Source organism: Homo sapiens, chromosome 12, assembly GCF_000001405.40.
Source record: "Homo sapiens chromosome 12, GRCh38.p14 Primary Assembly".
Taxonomy (NCBI): domain Eukaryota; kingdom Metazoa; phylum Chordata; class Mammalia; order Primates; family Hominidae; genus Homo; species Homo sapiens.
Window position 1 is genome coordinate 54,575,485 of NC_000012.12, and position 14,338 is coordinate 54,589,822.

General features: G+C 53.9%; 2 protein-coding genes across 12 annotated transcripts in view; one reads left to right on the forward strand and one right to left on the reverse strand.

Moving 5' to 3' along the window:
* Positions 1 to 3,755, forward strand: part of PDE1B (phosphodiesterase 1B) — a 29,639-nt gene extending 25,884 nt beyond the window's left edge. For all 9 annotated transcript variants that reach the window (NM_001288768.2, NM_000924.4, XM_047428970.1 and 6 more), the window contains 5 exons: positions 67 to 148; positions 508 to 616; positions 1,087 to 1,217; positions 1,741 to 1,861; positions 2,376 to 3,755. In NM_001288768.2, coding sequence (NP_001275697.1) covers positions 67 to 148; positions 508 to 616; positions 1,087 to 1,217; positions 1,741 to 1,844 — 426 coding nt within the window. In that variant the 3' untranslated portion in view covers positions 1,845 to 1,861; positions 2,376 to 3,755. The remainder of the gene's footprint in view (positions 1 to 66; positions 149 to 507; positions 617 to 1,086; positions 1,218 to 1,740; positions 1,862 to 2,375) is intronic.
* Positions 3,762 to 13,175, reverse strand: PPP1R1A (protein phosphatase 1 regulatory inhibitor subunit 1A). Of its 3 annotated transcripts, NM_006741.4 has the most exons (7): positions 12,921 to 13,175; positions 8,776 to 8,836; positions 7,727 to 7,764; positions 7,248 to 7,311; positions 6,492 to 6,647; positions 5,460 to 5,566; positions 3,762 to 4,908 (listed from the first exon to the last, which is right to left on the reverse strand). In NM_006741.4, exons 1-7 carry the CDS (start codon positions 13,002 to 13,004, stop codon positions 4,903 to 4,905), a joined length of 516 nt encoding a protein of 171 aa, NP_006732.3. In that variant the 5' UTR covers positions 13,005 to 13,175; the 3' UTR covers positions 3,762 to 4,902. The 3 variants fall into 3 exon arrangements, with proteins under 3 accessions (NP_006732.3, XP_005269052.1, XP_006719534.1); XM_005268995.5 differs by lacking the exon at positions 6,492 to 6,647; XM_006719471.5 differs by lacking the exons at positions 6,492 to 6,647; positions 7,248 to 7,311.
* Positions 13,176 to 14,338: the final 1,163 nt, after the last annotated feature.

Consider the following 14,338-nt stretch of genomic DNA (forward strand, 5'->3'; position numbering starts at 1 on the left):
CTGTACCCCAGATCTGGTAGGTCTGAGGTATCCTCTCCAGCTTTCCTACCCTGTTCCCTCCTCTAGGGTGACAAGGAGGCAGAGTTGGGCCTGCCCTTTTCTCCACTCTGTGACCGCACTTCCACTCTAGTGGCACAGTCTCAGATAGGTGAGTGTCCTCTCCTGCAGGAAGGGGAGGACTGGGAGGGGGAAAAGATGCTGCCTGGGTCAGGATTGCTCCAAGTCCTCAATCCCCCCAAACCATTCTTCCTGTAGAGGAAAGCCTACTGTGCTAGAGCATGGGGTCCTGGGTTAGGAGGCCAGGGGGCTGCAATGGCAGGAAGGAGCTCTCTGGGGCACCAAGACATCATCCCAAAGCCTGCCCTGCATTGGGAAGTTTTCAGCCCCAGGTTACCTCTCCATCCTCTTTCATAAGCAGCCAGGGGTCCTGGCCATGCCAGCTGCATGCTCTGCCTAGCCCTCCAGATAATAGTAAGACATCTCTACGGCATTGCTCCTCCACTGCAGGGTTCATCGACTTCATTGTGGAGCCCACATTCTCTGTGCTGACTGACGTGGCAGAGAAGAGTGTTCAGCCCCTGGCGGATGAGGACTCCAAGTCTAAAAACCAGCCCAGGTGAGGGTGGCTGGGGTAGCCAGATATCTTGGTTCAGGAAGGCAGTGGTAGGGAGGGATTTGGACTCACAGAGAGGACCGACTCACAGCCATGGTGGGGTGGTGGGGAGGCAGACTGCTTCAAGCTTGGGAGTCCCTCTGCCGTCAGGGACAGAAGGATGGGATCAGAAGGGTGTGACCTGTACCTATGCTCCCCTTCACCATATTTTTGTTTCTTCCATTAGCTGTCTTTCTGCCTTCTGGCTAATCTTGTTTTAATTTTCCTTCTACCAGGAGGGAAGATGTGGAGAGGGAGGGGTGAAATGAGGGGGAGAGGGACAGGGACTTGGGGAATATCTAGTAGAGGAAAAGAGGAAGATGAAGTTCCCTGAACCTTCTCCTGGTCTTCCATGTCCTGCACTCCCAGGGCTAAGGTGGTTCTGGAGTGGGCTGGGGCTTACCTCTTGCGGCTTTTGGGGGTTCTGCTTCTAGCTTTCAGTGGCGCCAGCCCTCTCTGGATGTGGAAGTGGGAGACCCCAACCCTGATGTGGTCAGCTTTCGTTCCACCTGGGTCAAGCGCATTCAGGAGAATAAGCAGAAATGGAAGGAACGGGCAGCAAGTGGTGGGTACCATGGCAGAGGGCAGGGGTGAGAACTTGTGTGGGTGGATCATGGAGCACTAGGAGGTCCATTTTTCTTAAGCCCCTGGGGAAACCCTTTGCCGGACTCCTTGATTTGGGAGTGGAGCTGATCAGACCAGTTAGATCACAGGAAAGACTGGCTGAGTGGCCTGGAATGTTCTAAGAATGGGGGCCGTAGAGATGATAGAGACAGTCAGATATTCCACAACCCAAGGGTCCCTGTGCACACTGTGGTCCCTGTAAATGGTGCCCCTGTAGATTTGGCTAATTTGGTGGCCCTGGCTGGGAAATCTCTTCCTGTGTGAGGGGGTGGTAGGGTGGTGTTGAGGGTTCTGAGTTTTAGCAAGGCTGGAGAGGCTCTTCCCAAGTGGGGATGGGTTGAATGTAGTTCAGCTTGAAGGCAGGTTGATGGATGAGAATCCCTTACATGTCTCCACATACTCCTTGGGTTCTGGGGAAGAATACTTCTTGGCCTAAGCTCAGCCTCCTTTATGCTCCTCTACAGGCATCACCAACCAGATGTCCATTGACGAGCTGTCCCCCTGTGAAGAAGAGGCCCCCCCATCCCCTGCCGAAGATGAACACAACCAGAATGGGAATCTGGATTAGCCCTGGGGCTGGCCCAGGTGAGCCTGTTGTGGTGGAGGGTGTAGGAGAGCTGGTGTCTATCATGGCATCTTTGTTGGGTCGTCTCTGGGCTCCAGTGGATGCGACATTCTCTCTCCCCTTTTGAGCAGTAAAATGGAGCGAGTGAAGACATAGAATGGAGCCAAAGTGTGGGTGGAGCAGGGAAATCCTCCCACGCTCTTCTGTCCCCCAGTCCCTGCAGGAACAAAGGAGGTACCTTCTCAGAACAGCAGCAGAACAGGGTGGGCCCATGCCAGGTGACAGCTAACCTGCACCGCACCTTAGGGAGGGTTAGGGAAAAGGAGCCCAGCCAGGGCACACAGCTCAGTGAGGGCAGCTGAACGTGACTTCGACTTCAGCCCCTATTCACCCCCTTGGCTGGGCACCCTTCTGAAGGGCATTTTTTGCACAGCTCTACTCGGGACTGAGTGGGGATCAGGACTTGGAGAAGGAAGGTCAGGTTGGAGGTGAAGGCAAAGCTCAGGGCACTGAAGTTTCTCCCTCTTTCCCCAGGTCTTCATTGAGTCCAAAGTGTTTGATGTCATCAGCACCATCCATCAGGACTGGCTCCCCCATCTGCTCCAAGGGAGCGTGGTCGTGGAAGAAACAACCCACCTGAAGGCCAAATGCCAGAGATTTGGGGTTGGGGAAAGGGCCCCTCCCCACCTGACACCCACTGGGGTGCACTTTAATGTTCCGGCAGCAAGACTGGGGAACTTCAGGCTCCCAGTGGTCACTGTGCCCATCCCTCAGCCTCTGGATTCTCTTCATGGCCAGGTGGCTGCCAGGGAGCGGGGAGCTTCCTGGAGGCTTCCCAGGGCCTTGGGGAAGGGTCAGAGATGCCAGCCCCCTGGGACCTCCCCCATCCTTTTTGCCTCCAAGTTTCTAAGCAATACATTTTGGGGGTTCCCTCAGCCCCCCACCCCAGATCTTAGCTGGCAGGTCTGGGTGCCCCTTTTCCTCCCCTGGGAAGGGCTGGAATAGGATAGAAAGCTGGGGGTTTTCAGAGCCCTATGTGTGGGGAGGGGAGTGGATTCCTTCAGGGCATGGTACCTTTCTAGGACCTGGGAATGGGGTGGAGAGGACATCCTCTTCACCCCAGAATTGCGCTGCTTCAGCCCCATCTCCAGCCTGATCCTCTGAATCTTCCTTCCCTCCCTTTCTGATACAGTGACTGGGGCAAAAGGAGCCATTGTGACCAGGGGCTGCGGGAGGCCTTTCCTGGGACCTTCCTTGGGACTGGTCTGGGCCCCTGGGGCTTGTCGCCTGCCCTGAGTCCGGAGCCCTTTGCCTCCTTCCTCTCCCCTGGGGCTGGGAGGCTCCATCCGACCAATGTCTGTAAAGTGCTTTGAGGATCTCCCCAGCAAAGCACCTTCAGAATGTATCGACACCAGCTGGGTTAGGGTCAAGGGTGCCTGGGGAGGGTGAGTAATCCTGCATTGCTAAAAGAGAGGGTCTGTCCCCTCCTCTCCACGTCCCAGAACTGGCCCAGCTGCAGGCACTAAGAAGCTCCTCCCCTGAGACAAGTGAGGGGTAGTCGGTGAAAGGCAGATGGACAAGGGGCTCAGGGCTGCTGCCTTCCTGTCCTCTGGAGAGAACCCAGCCAGGCGCGGTGCCCCTTCCTCTCCTCAGGCTCCTCCTTGCCCCCACCTTGCCCCAGGAAAGGCCAAAGTCCAGGTGACTGCCCTCCTTCTTTCTTGTAAATACCAACCATGCATTTGTACAGTGGGCCCTGTTCATGCGAAATCCACATCCATGGTCTCCTAGACCTGCTACCCTGGTACTTCCACCCTACCCCACCCCGAGAAGGGCAGAGACGCATGTGACTCACCCCTGCCCTTGGTTTCCCAGACCCCTGCTATAGCCAGAGAACAATAAAGAAGGGAGACCAGGCCTGACTGTGTGTGTTCACTGGGTACAAGTTGACCAAGCATCTTCACATACATACACTCTTTCCAGCATGATAAAATCTGGGTGAGGCGTTCTCCCTCATATATATATATATATATATTTAGGTATGTATCTGGGCAAGCTGAGGCCCAGGAGGAGGCCCCGAGGGCTCATAGTAGCTGCATGGCAGAAGTGGGACCTGACGCTTCTCAGGCTCTGCTCTTGCCTCTGTACCACATGCTTCAGCAGGGAGGGGGAAAGAATCTTGCCTTCCCTCCTTTCCTCTCTCCCACTACCTGGGAAAATCAAAAACAGCAGCAGGAGAGAGGCCTGGCCGTGAGATCTGAGACAGTTTCTTCTCTTATGCTTGGTTTTGGTCTTATCTGGGCCCCTCAATGTCTAGGACAAGGGAACCCTTCCAGTCTCCAGCATGGGCCTCTTCATTAATAGCCACTGTGTTCTCTATCCATTGTTGCTAACGGGTTGAAATAAGGGACAGCGGTCCCACAGCTGGAAGAGGGAACACATCCTGAAGCTTGGGAATCCAAAAGGAAGGCAGCTGGGGCTTGGAGGGCAGGCGAGGAGGTATCGGCACACCACCATACCCTCTTTCCCATGGGCCAAGTGCCATGGTGCAGTTCCCCTTTTGTCCAGCAGATGGAGCCCACCGCACAGTCACAGCTGGACACGGCACAGGCCTTAGAGCGCCGAGTCTTCCAGCTGCAGGGCAGGCCTGTGAGGTGGTCGGATCGTTCCTCAATAAGAAAAGAGAACCTGGGGCTTTTCTTCCTTCTTGGCACCCTGGAAGTTAGTCCTCCCACCTATCTGACCCTCATCTCTCTTCCCACAGCAAGTAAAGTCAGGGCTAAGGGAAGAACTCTTCCCTGCTCAAGGCTTCTGCCTAGCTCCTGTTTCTTCCTTCCCAGAGGCAGCTTGGCAGGAGGGTGGGGGCTACAGAGAGGGCAGGGCAAGAAGGCAGGGAGAAAGGATTCTCCCAGTTGGAAAAGAAGGAAAGTGCCAAGGACCTAACACCAAATTTATCACTTTTTAAAAACAAGAGATTTTCCCCAAAAGTGAAGGAATAAGAAACAAATCCGGTGTCCATGCATTCCCAAACTGCAGTCTTGATCCCAAGATACCTCCTCCTCTCTCAGACCTGTTATGGGGGAAAGGGGACAGAAAGAGAAGGTGAGAGGCCAGAGGGTCATTTTGTCCCTTCCCCTTCTGGCCATCCCATTTGTCAACATCTAATGTCTCAGAAAGCTTGTTCTGATGTCTGAGAGCAGTCCTTCCTGTGTCCAGTCTATGCAGGGGGCTGCGGATTATGAAATCAAAGCTCAGGAAGTTATCTCATCAATGCATCCTCCAGGCAGGGAGAGCCACTGCCCACTTCAGCTGGGCAGGTGAGGATCTCCCTTCGGGTTCCAAATCCCCTTTATCAAAAAATCCATGGCCTACTGCTCTCACCCATTCCAGGAGCCAGAAGTCCTACACAAAGTCTAATCTCAATCCTTCTTGCTGCAGCTATCCATTTCTTTTTGTCTGTCAGAGGAGATACAAGTCCTTTTACCATAAAGAATAACTTTTTAGGGACTGAAGCTGGTTCTTTGTTTTCCTTTTCCTAGACTCCAAATATTAGCCCCTTGCTTTTGTCCACAATATTAGCCTCCTCTCCTATGACCTGGCAGCCCAGCCCTGGGGTCTTACCGAGTTGGCTCCCTTGGAATCCAGTGGTGGTATATGGGTTGAGGGTTCTTTTGTGCTGGGTTCCTTACTGCCTCTCTCGTGAGTTTTAGGGATGCATTCTGCAGTTTCTGGGGAGGGAACATAGGGGTGGGAGGAAGAGGTGGCATTCATAAAGGTGTTGGGGAGGGAACTGCTTCTCCTCACTGCACCCATACCCCAGTGGCCCCTGAGAGGGCCCCAGGACCAAGTTGGGTGCAATCAGGCAAGACCAACAGGGTTTTCTTTGATCACAATTACTACTATATGTTCACTTTTAAAAAATCTTCAATCAAATTGGAAAGAATAAACCCTCTACAGTTTAAAAAACAAAACTCAATATGTGTCTAAACCTGACATGAACTCATAGGAGGCTGTTTTTAGTCTTTATTCTGCTTAGTGAGACCATTCACTGGATTGCAGAAATATTATGTGTTTGATTGTAGGGTTCTCTGCCGGGAATACTATGCGATACACAGTTTATGTACTATATCTTCATAAAATTGGAAGCATTCTGAATTCTGGAATATATCTAGGATAAGGGACATAGCGCACTGCTACCAGCTTCCACTTATTGCATGCTCTGTGTGTGTCGGGTGCTGTGTCAACAGCCAGTCTCATTTAATAGTCACACACAACCCACTGCAACAGGCACCCTCATTATCATTTTATACCCTGAGGTTAAGTCGTTCAAGGCCTCTCAGCTGGTAAGGTAGCAAGTGGCCGAGCCAGGATTCTAGCCTGTGATTGCTGTTCCCATGAAGGTGGGTTTCCCCCATGTAGCCACAGTGGGGCTCTGAGGTTCAAGTTGGGAGGGCTTGGTGTCACTCAGTAAGGAAAAGTGAAGATTCAAATATATGCCGAACATGCCAACAGATCCATATCCTTGAGACAGTTTTTGCCTACTACTAGGCCTCTCCCAGGCTCCAACTCTTTCCCCTCCCCGCAGTGGGTAAGGCTTGCCTCCTGCTGGGCTGGGAAATAGGATGCCTGGGGCCCTCCCCAGCCTGAACATACTTTTTGCTGTCCCAGAGGTGCCCAGCCTTGACTCCACTTCTGTGTCTGGGATCCCAGGTGGGCGGGACTCCTGGGTTCCTGTGCTCTCAGCGGCCCCCTCAGGTTCCTCTCCTTGCTGCTGTTGCCCCAGGTGATGTTCAACCATCATCTGGAGCTCTGGGGACACAGAGAAAGGGAGGGAACACTGGATATGACTGCCTAGCGTCTCCCCTGTGGGCCTCCGGATTCAACAGCCCCACTAAAGGCTCAGCACACATTGCTGGGTGTTTGACTTTCCCATCCACTGAGATCTGAACAAGGAGGGGACATTAGCTGGCAATAAGGAGGAATGAAAACTAGACCATAAAAAGTACTCTTCTTCACAGATAAGGGAGGCATAGGAGAAGAGGCTTTAAGAACAAGGGATACTCCTCACTTGCTGGGATACATGGTCTTCCCTGGGGGAAGGTGGAAAGGCTCAATTTAGATTCAAGAAAAATTTGAGTATCTTGTACATGTTGTGCACTGTGCCGGTGAGTTCACATATATTATTTTATCTGCCATAATGAGGTAGTATTCAAGGCTCAGTAAGTTAAGCAGTTTCTCCCAGATCACCCAGCTAGTCAGTGGCAAAACTGGGATTTCAGCCTCAGTTCGTCTAGCAACAGTTCTACCATAATAAAGGCAGATTTAACGACCTCCCTTCCAAAGGGCATTCGGTCTCCTCTTCAGCTTCAGGCACAGAGGAGAAAAAGGGATGGGAGGGGTCTTGCAAACCTTTCATTGTGGGTGTGATCCTTGTCATCTTCTTCCGTTGCCGTGGAGACATTGCCAAAGTGGACTGTGAAGGGCACAGAGCACAGATGGGCGCCAGCCCCCCCTTGCTCTCCAGACCCCTCCCTTGCCCTCTAGCCCCCCATGCCCTCCAGCCCCCCTTGCCTTCCTCCTCTGCCTTGCCAGGCTTTTGGATTGGAGCCTGGGGTAGGTGTGAGCTTCAAAAAGTGGGGTAAGAAAACGCCTGCTTCCCCAACCACCTCGACAATGGTGAGCAAGGAGACTGTGAGTGTGTGTGTGTATGTGAGTGTGTGTGTGTGGGGTGCATGTGTATATGTTCACTCATGCACATTTGGGGGGTAGAGGTACAGGGAAGCGGGAGTCAAAAAGATCCTAGAGATGGGCGGCAGGGTTTTAAGGAATAATCCCCTAATGAATGTGGGGGTTTTTTGGGCTGGGCTTAGTGGGATGGGCCAGCTCACCTTGAGATGTGGGTTGGGGATCCGGTCTTCATCTATCTCTGAAGGGAACAGGGAAAGGAGAGGGTGATAAGGACAGGAAACCAGGGATCCCCATAGAGCTGACTTCTCAGGGGAGGGGATTCTGCAGCCATGCTCCTCCTGATCTGTCCCTCACATCTGCCCCCAGGCTCTTGGCCCTCATGGCTGCCCCAGACCTCCTCCCCGAAGCTCCTCTCCTGTGCTTCCGCTGCCTCCATCCCTCTGCATCTAGTCCCGTCCTTGGCTCTGTGGTCAATTTGCGTCTGCATCTTTGCCTCAGACCTGGAGATCCCCAAAGGCAGGATCTGTAGTCTTTTTGCTTTTTTTCCTCCTCTGAAGTATCCATGTCTCTTTCTCTTTCCAATCATTCCCCCACCCCAGGGTCAGCCAGAACTAAGCCCTGCATAGGAGGGAACAGTGATAGAGGACAGTCAATTTATTCTGTGCAGGGTCTGGAAGGTATAGCTGGAGGCAAGCTGGAGACCCCGGCATCCTGAACCCCAGCCTAGCTTCTTAGCCTGTCCCCCTCGCTTCCATACTCCTGTCAAGCTCTCTACCATTCTCTGAGAACTTGTTTTCTCCCCAGACCTCGATGGGGATGCTGGTGACCAGAATCTCAGCTGCTCCCTGAGCTGCTTCTAACCTTCCCCTCCCCCTCTGGGGGCTGTGAAGAGCTGGTGGAGGCGGTCCCTCCCCCTCACAGCTGACACTGCCTCTGGGGGTGGGGGTGGCAGCATCTCAGTTGCTGGAGAAATCTGGAAGGCTGTTGTCGCAGCAACCAGCACTCAGTTGACCACCCCAATTCCTGGGGGGCTTAGGAGCCAGGTGGTCTCCCTCCCTTTCCTAGAACTGCTCCATCTTTCCAAAAGCAAAGAATATTCTGCAATCTAGCCACCACCTTCCTGCCTTCAGTACTGAGGACATCCCCGCCTTCTCAGAGCTGTTCTTCTTCCATCTAGCGCCCATCTTCTCATTGGGACCTGCTGCCATAGTGGCCCCCACGCCCTTCAGCAACCTATCCCTTGGCTTACCTGGGGATGACTGGTCACTGGTCAGCACGAGGGTGGCAGGGGTGGGGCGGCGCCTCCGAATCTGAGGGAAGGTGGGAAATGGGGAAGAGGTCAAGTACACGTGGAAGCATCAAAGCCCCACCCAAAACCACTCAGTAACATAATCCAGGCTAGCCTACTTAACACACCTCAAAAAATGCCATGTTAATGCAGCTGGAGGCCATTATCCTAAGCAAACTTATGCAGAAACAGAAAACCAAATACTGCGTGTTCTCACTTATAAGTGGGAGCTAAACATTGAGTACTCATGGACATAAAGATAGGAACAATAGACACTGGGGAATAAAAGAGAGGGAGGGAGGAGGGCAAGGGCTGAAAAACTACCTATTGGGTACTATGTTCACTCTCTGGGTCAATCATATCCCAGACTTCAGCACCATGTAATAAACCTTTGTAACAAACCTGCACATGTACCCCCCTGAATCTAAAATAAAAGTTGAAAAAAAAATGCCATGTTACATTGGTGAACCAGGGTGAACATCCCTGGGCTCCTCCCCCTCCCCTGGGGAGAGCTAATCCTAAGGATCCAGAAGACCACCTCGCCTCCCTGCATGCCCCCATTCCCCTGTTCTGTCTCTCCACCTCCCCCTGGTCCTGGCCCCAGCTCTCCATCTAAGCATATCTGCTCTAATGCATTGATCTCTGGCTTGCTGTCCTTCCGTCCATCCTGGATCAATGGTCAGAAATAACTTAAGAGGGCACAGGGCTTTCTCTCAGTGTTCTAACCCACTCCCCAAGCAAGATGTTAACATTTTGTGTGACAGCGCCTGGAGAGAGCATCCTTTTCAAGCGCCCCCCAGCCTGGGAGGACAGCACAGAGGAGGATCTGAACGTGCATCTCCTCTGGCCTGTGCCCCTCACTCCCTAATGTCCTCTCTGTCCTTGGATACATTGCCTTTCTGATTTGTCAAGAAATGGGGTTGGGGGAATCCTTGTCATGGTAGATATAATATCAATACAAGGAGGAGCCCTAGGCAGGACCCTGGTCAGGGCCCAAAGCGTAGCTGAAAAATCTTATCCTAGGCTCCAGGTCCTAGTCTAAGAAATTAACATATAAAGCTGACTGACTGCCCTGCCTCTGAGCCCCCTTTCCCCCCACTGTTGTTCTTTTGTCACGCTGCCAATAAAGTTGATTGTTGTTGAAGTCAGTTCAAGGACTCCTGGGAGGTGTAGTTTTCCCCCTTTCTCTGGAGGCTTTAGAGGCTTGGAAGCAAGTGGAAGGATGGGGGTTAGAGGATGACCCTCTAGGTTAGCAGTGGGGAGGGAAGGCAAATGGGGCTGGGAAAAGGGCTAGAATTATCCTGGGCTGAGAGGAGTAGGATGAGGACACTGAATGATCAAACCCTTATCTTTGCATGTCCATTATTTAGAATCATCACCACTGGCCGTGGGGGGATGACAGAGGTGAACACTGCCCCTCTCTATGCCCAGAAAAGTGGGGGGTACTGGCTATGGTAAGATGGGCTGTTTAAGCCTGAGGGGGGAACTCTTTCCAAAGAAGAAACAGGATGCAAAGAATGGGGGTATGTGGGGGTAGGGCATCATTTTCCCAGGAGAATTCAGTGGCATCTGTTTTTGGTGACATTGCAAGGTCCCCGCAGTACCAGTCCTTTGTGTATGTGTGTAAGTGTGCACATGGATGAGCCGCACAGACATTAACTGTGAGTCGTCTCTGGTCATTCCTGATACACATGGGCTGGGGACCATCTGCTTCATGTATATGGGGTGGGGGCCATCCTTCAACTAGAAGACTCCTCTACTTCTTTCCATCCTGGAGGGGCAGGGTGTGGTGGTGGTAGTAGGAAAGAGACAAGGAGGGTGGAGTGGCGATCAGTGGGTTGAGATAACATCAGAGTGGGGAGCCCAAGAAAGAGACTGCAAGTATGACAGAGGGCAGCAGGGCTGTCTGGTCTTGGACACATCACTTCCTTGACCTATTCCTTTGCTTTGGACAAGGTTTCTAAGCATTCAGAGTCCTTGGGAATCGTGATACCCTTACAGCAGGAAGGAGGAAAGTCAGACTTCCTGAGGTACCTCCCAGGCACCTGAACTAGTGGGAAATAAGTAGATGGTCTCTTTTCCTTTTCTCATACCTATCCCAAATCCTAGCTCTCAGGAGCATGTGATAACTTCGCCTCGGATTTCTTTCCAAAGCAGTCATGCCAAGGATCTGGAAGCTGTGGGCACCCCTCCACCGCCTGCCACTCTGTGCTCTATAACTCAGAGCTTCCAACTCCTTTTGCCCTCCCATGTTGGTCTGGGTTAGGAGCACCTGCCAAGCCTGGAGCTTTTTGCCTAACACAGCAGGAGGGGCTGAGGTTAGGCCACAGGAAGAATTTCAGGCCTAAGAGACACAAATTCTGAAGATTAGTGAAAGTAGGCCCAAGTCCCGGCTCTCTTTTTTCCCTCTGACTCCTCAGGATTGCCTTGTGCCCCTCCCTTGTCTCCTAGATCCCTGAACCAGCTGGCCTTCCTCCTCCTCCTCCCTACCCACCTACTACACCTGCCTCCTCCAACACCCAACAGATACAGGTGTCGGGCCCTGTCTGTGCCAGTGGGAGGCAGTTCTCCTTGGAACTGCATCCCCAACCTCCACAGTCCAGACTCTTGAGCCCTTTTTCCTGGGTCTGAGGTTATCCTGGCTGATGCCCTGCCTCCAGGCATAGCAGCCTTTCCCCTGACTCCCAGGGAACACAACCCATGCTGATGGCTCTCCATCCTCCTCATCCTCTACAGATTTGTGAGGCTTCACCAAGAGCCTTCCCGTAGTCACACCTTAGAGCTCTGAGGTGGTGGCTCACCCCAGGCCAGAGAGAGGACGGAGACGCAGGTACCTAACCCTATCTCCACATTGGGAAGCTGAAGTGGTAGGGAGAGTGTGTACCCCTGCCCGCTTCCCTTCACATCAGACCTTATTCTACCAAACAGCTGGAGCAACAAAAATGACAAAAAACACTCTCTCCACCTCATCCCAAGAGGTCACAAAGTTTTTTTCAGGTTGGGGGTGGCCAGCCAGAGCCTGGCAGCTTGTTGAGAGAAACAGAGAACTGACCTTGTGGGAAATTGATATTCTTTAGGAATGGGAATGTCTAGGCAAATGGACAGAGATTACAAAGAGATGGAGCAATAGGCAAATAAGCAAATATTTGGCAAACAAGGAGTAGTAAGGACCACGGGTGGCCACCCTCTCCACACATACGCTCACTCTCACCGAGGCATACACTTGCTCACACACTCTCATACACTGCCCCCTCTGCCAGGCTGCTCTGAGCTAAAAATAGACCAGGCTAGGAGGCTGGGCCAGGGCCCTGGACTCCCACCCCTTGAGCCAAGGCTGTCACAGTGCTTCTCCCTTGCATATTGTTCAGCTTGGACCCCAGCCCCTGGAAAGACTCCACCTCTGGCCTCCCAGTGCTGCTGGCTCAGTCCCACCTGGACTCCCCACTCCAAAGGGCAGGAGTTGGGAATAAGGGCCATGTGCGGAGACTTGAAGAAGGGAGCCTCAGCCTACAACTCGACCACCCCTCTCCCCTCTCCCTGGAGCCCCAGCCCTCTCAGTGGTCCTCAGTCCCTTCCTGTTATCACTTTCGGAGCCCAGCAAGGTGGCCCCCAGTTAGGAGGGGACAGGGAGAGCTGTTTCTCCTCTTCCAACTCCCACCCTTCCAGGCTCCCTCTCCATTACCGACCCCTCCCCAGGCCCCTCCCGCACTGCTGCTGATTCCCTTCAGCGCCACCACCAAGCTCAGAAACTCTAGTGGGGGTTGACTGGGTGGGGGATGCAGGGTTGTTTAAGGAGGGAGGGGTCGTGTCCTCAAGCAGGCCCCCTCCCCCAGGACTGGGGAGGAAGAGAGCGACTCTCGCGGGGCCAGGCATCGAGTGGAGGCGCTCTTCCTTCGGTCAGTCTCAAAGAAGCACAGATTCGAGATGTGGCTCCGACGGTGGGGGAGGGGACAGAAGACCCCCCCCCGCCCCCCGCAAACTGAGCGTTCGTCCTCAAAAGGGCGCACTGCTAAGGGAGGACTAGGCAGGGATCCTGGGTCCCACCAGTCCAGGGGTCCCTCGTCCTTGGCTGGGCGAGTGCCCTGCCGCCCCGCCCTGCTCCGCACCTGCTCCGCCGCCTCGGGGTCAAGGTGCGGCTCCAGCAGCGGGACCGTGAACTGGATCTTTCGGGGGCTGTTGTCTTGCTCCATGGCTGGGGCGGCGGCCGGTGGGCCCGCGCTGCGGCGGGAGGGAAGGCGGCGGGACTCGGGGCTGGGGCGGGCGCGCTCCCTCTCCGCTCCGCTCCGGCCCCGGCCCCAGCCCGGCGCGCTCGGCTCCCGGCTCCCGGCACAGCGCTCCCAGCTCGCGGCTCCGGGGACTCTGCCGCCGCCGATTGGCTCCGCACCCGCCCCTCCCGGCCCCCTCCCCCTCCCCCAGCCCGGAACCTTAACCCCGTCGTGGCTGCACCGGCGGCTGCGGGGGTCACCGCCCCGCGGGCCGCCGAGTCCGGGCGTGGCCCGGGAGCCGTCGTAGTGGACAGCTCAGGCAGATACCTCAGTGTCCTCGGAGTTTTGGGCAGGGCGTTGGGGTGGGGAGTGGCTAGGAAGAACTTCTCCTAGCCGGAGCAGGTTGTTGGGGCTAGGAAAGTAGAGGGGCGCTGCAGGAGAGGAGACTAAACGCGAGAGGAAGATTGCATTTATGATTTTAAAGGGGGTTGTATTATAGAGAAAAGATGGAAAGGGGATTTAGGCATGCAGCAGGAGGGATTAAGGTTAGACTTCGAGAGGGACTTTCCTTTGCAAGGAAAACACTAGGCGGAGGTAAAAACTTGGAGGGAAATACGAAGTCTGCACACCCGTCCTGTGTTCCCTCAGTGCCAGGGAGAGGAAACTGAAGACTTCAGAGGGTCTCCGGAGGGCGCGTTTCTCTCGAAGTGCCTGTGGGAGTGGGTGGAGGGCTTGGGGAGAGAGGACCATCTGGGACTCGACAAAAGGAATAACGATGGTGGGGAGCCAATCCTGCTTGTGAAATCGAGTTCTCTTTCTGCTTGCTAAATTAGGGGATGGTAAAGTAGGTGAAAGGCCTGCAAGGGGAAAATGCCTGGGGAGGGAGAGAGAAACTCCTTTGGTGGGGTGGCTTGTTTACAGATAGGGTTGGTTTCTAATTTCACTATTGGCAGGATACTGAAAACGAGCTGCTGTAACTGAAGGAATGGAGGTTAGACTATGGGAAGAACTGACTAGTTTGGTGGAAGACTAAGATGCCAGTCAATACGAGCCAGTGAGGGAGACAGGATATTCACAGGAGCTGGTGTGCTCGGTCTAAGGACTGGGGATCACTAGATGGGGGAGGGGATGTGCTGGGCACTGGGGAGGGGTAGGGCTGGATGCATCTTTTCGGGAGGAGAAGGTGGAGAGAAGAACTGGGGATGGGGAGGAGGGCACAGGGAGTCCTGGAAGAGGGGAAGGGGTCTGTCTCTTTAGCCTTAAACCAAGCAACTGGCAAGTGCCATACAGATTCATGCCTGGTTCTTGGAGAACCATAT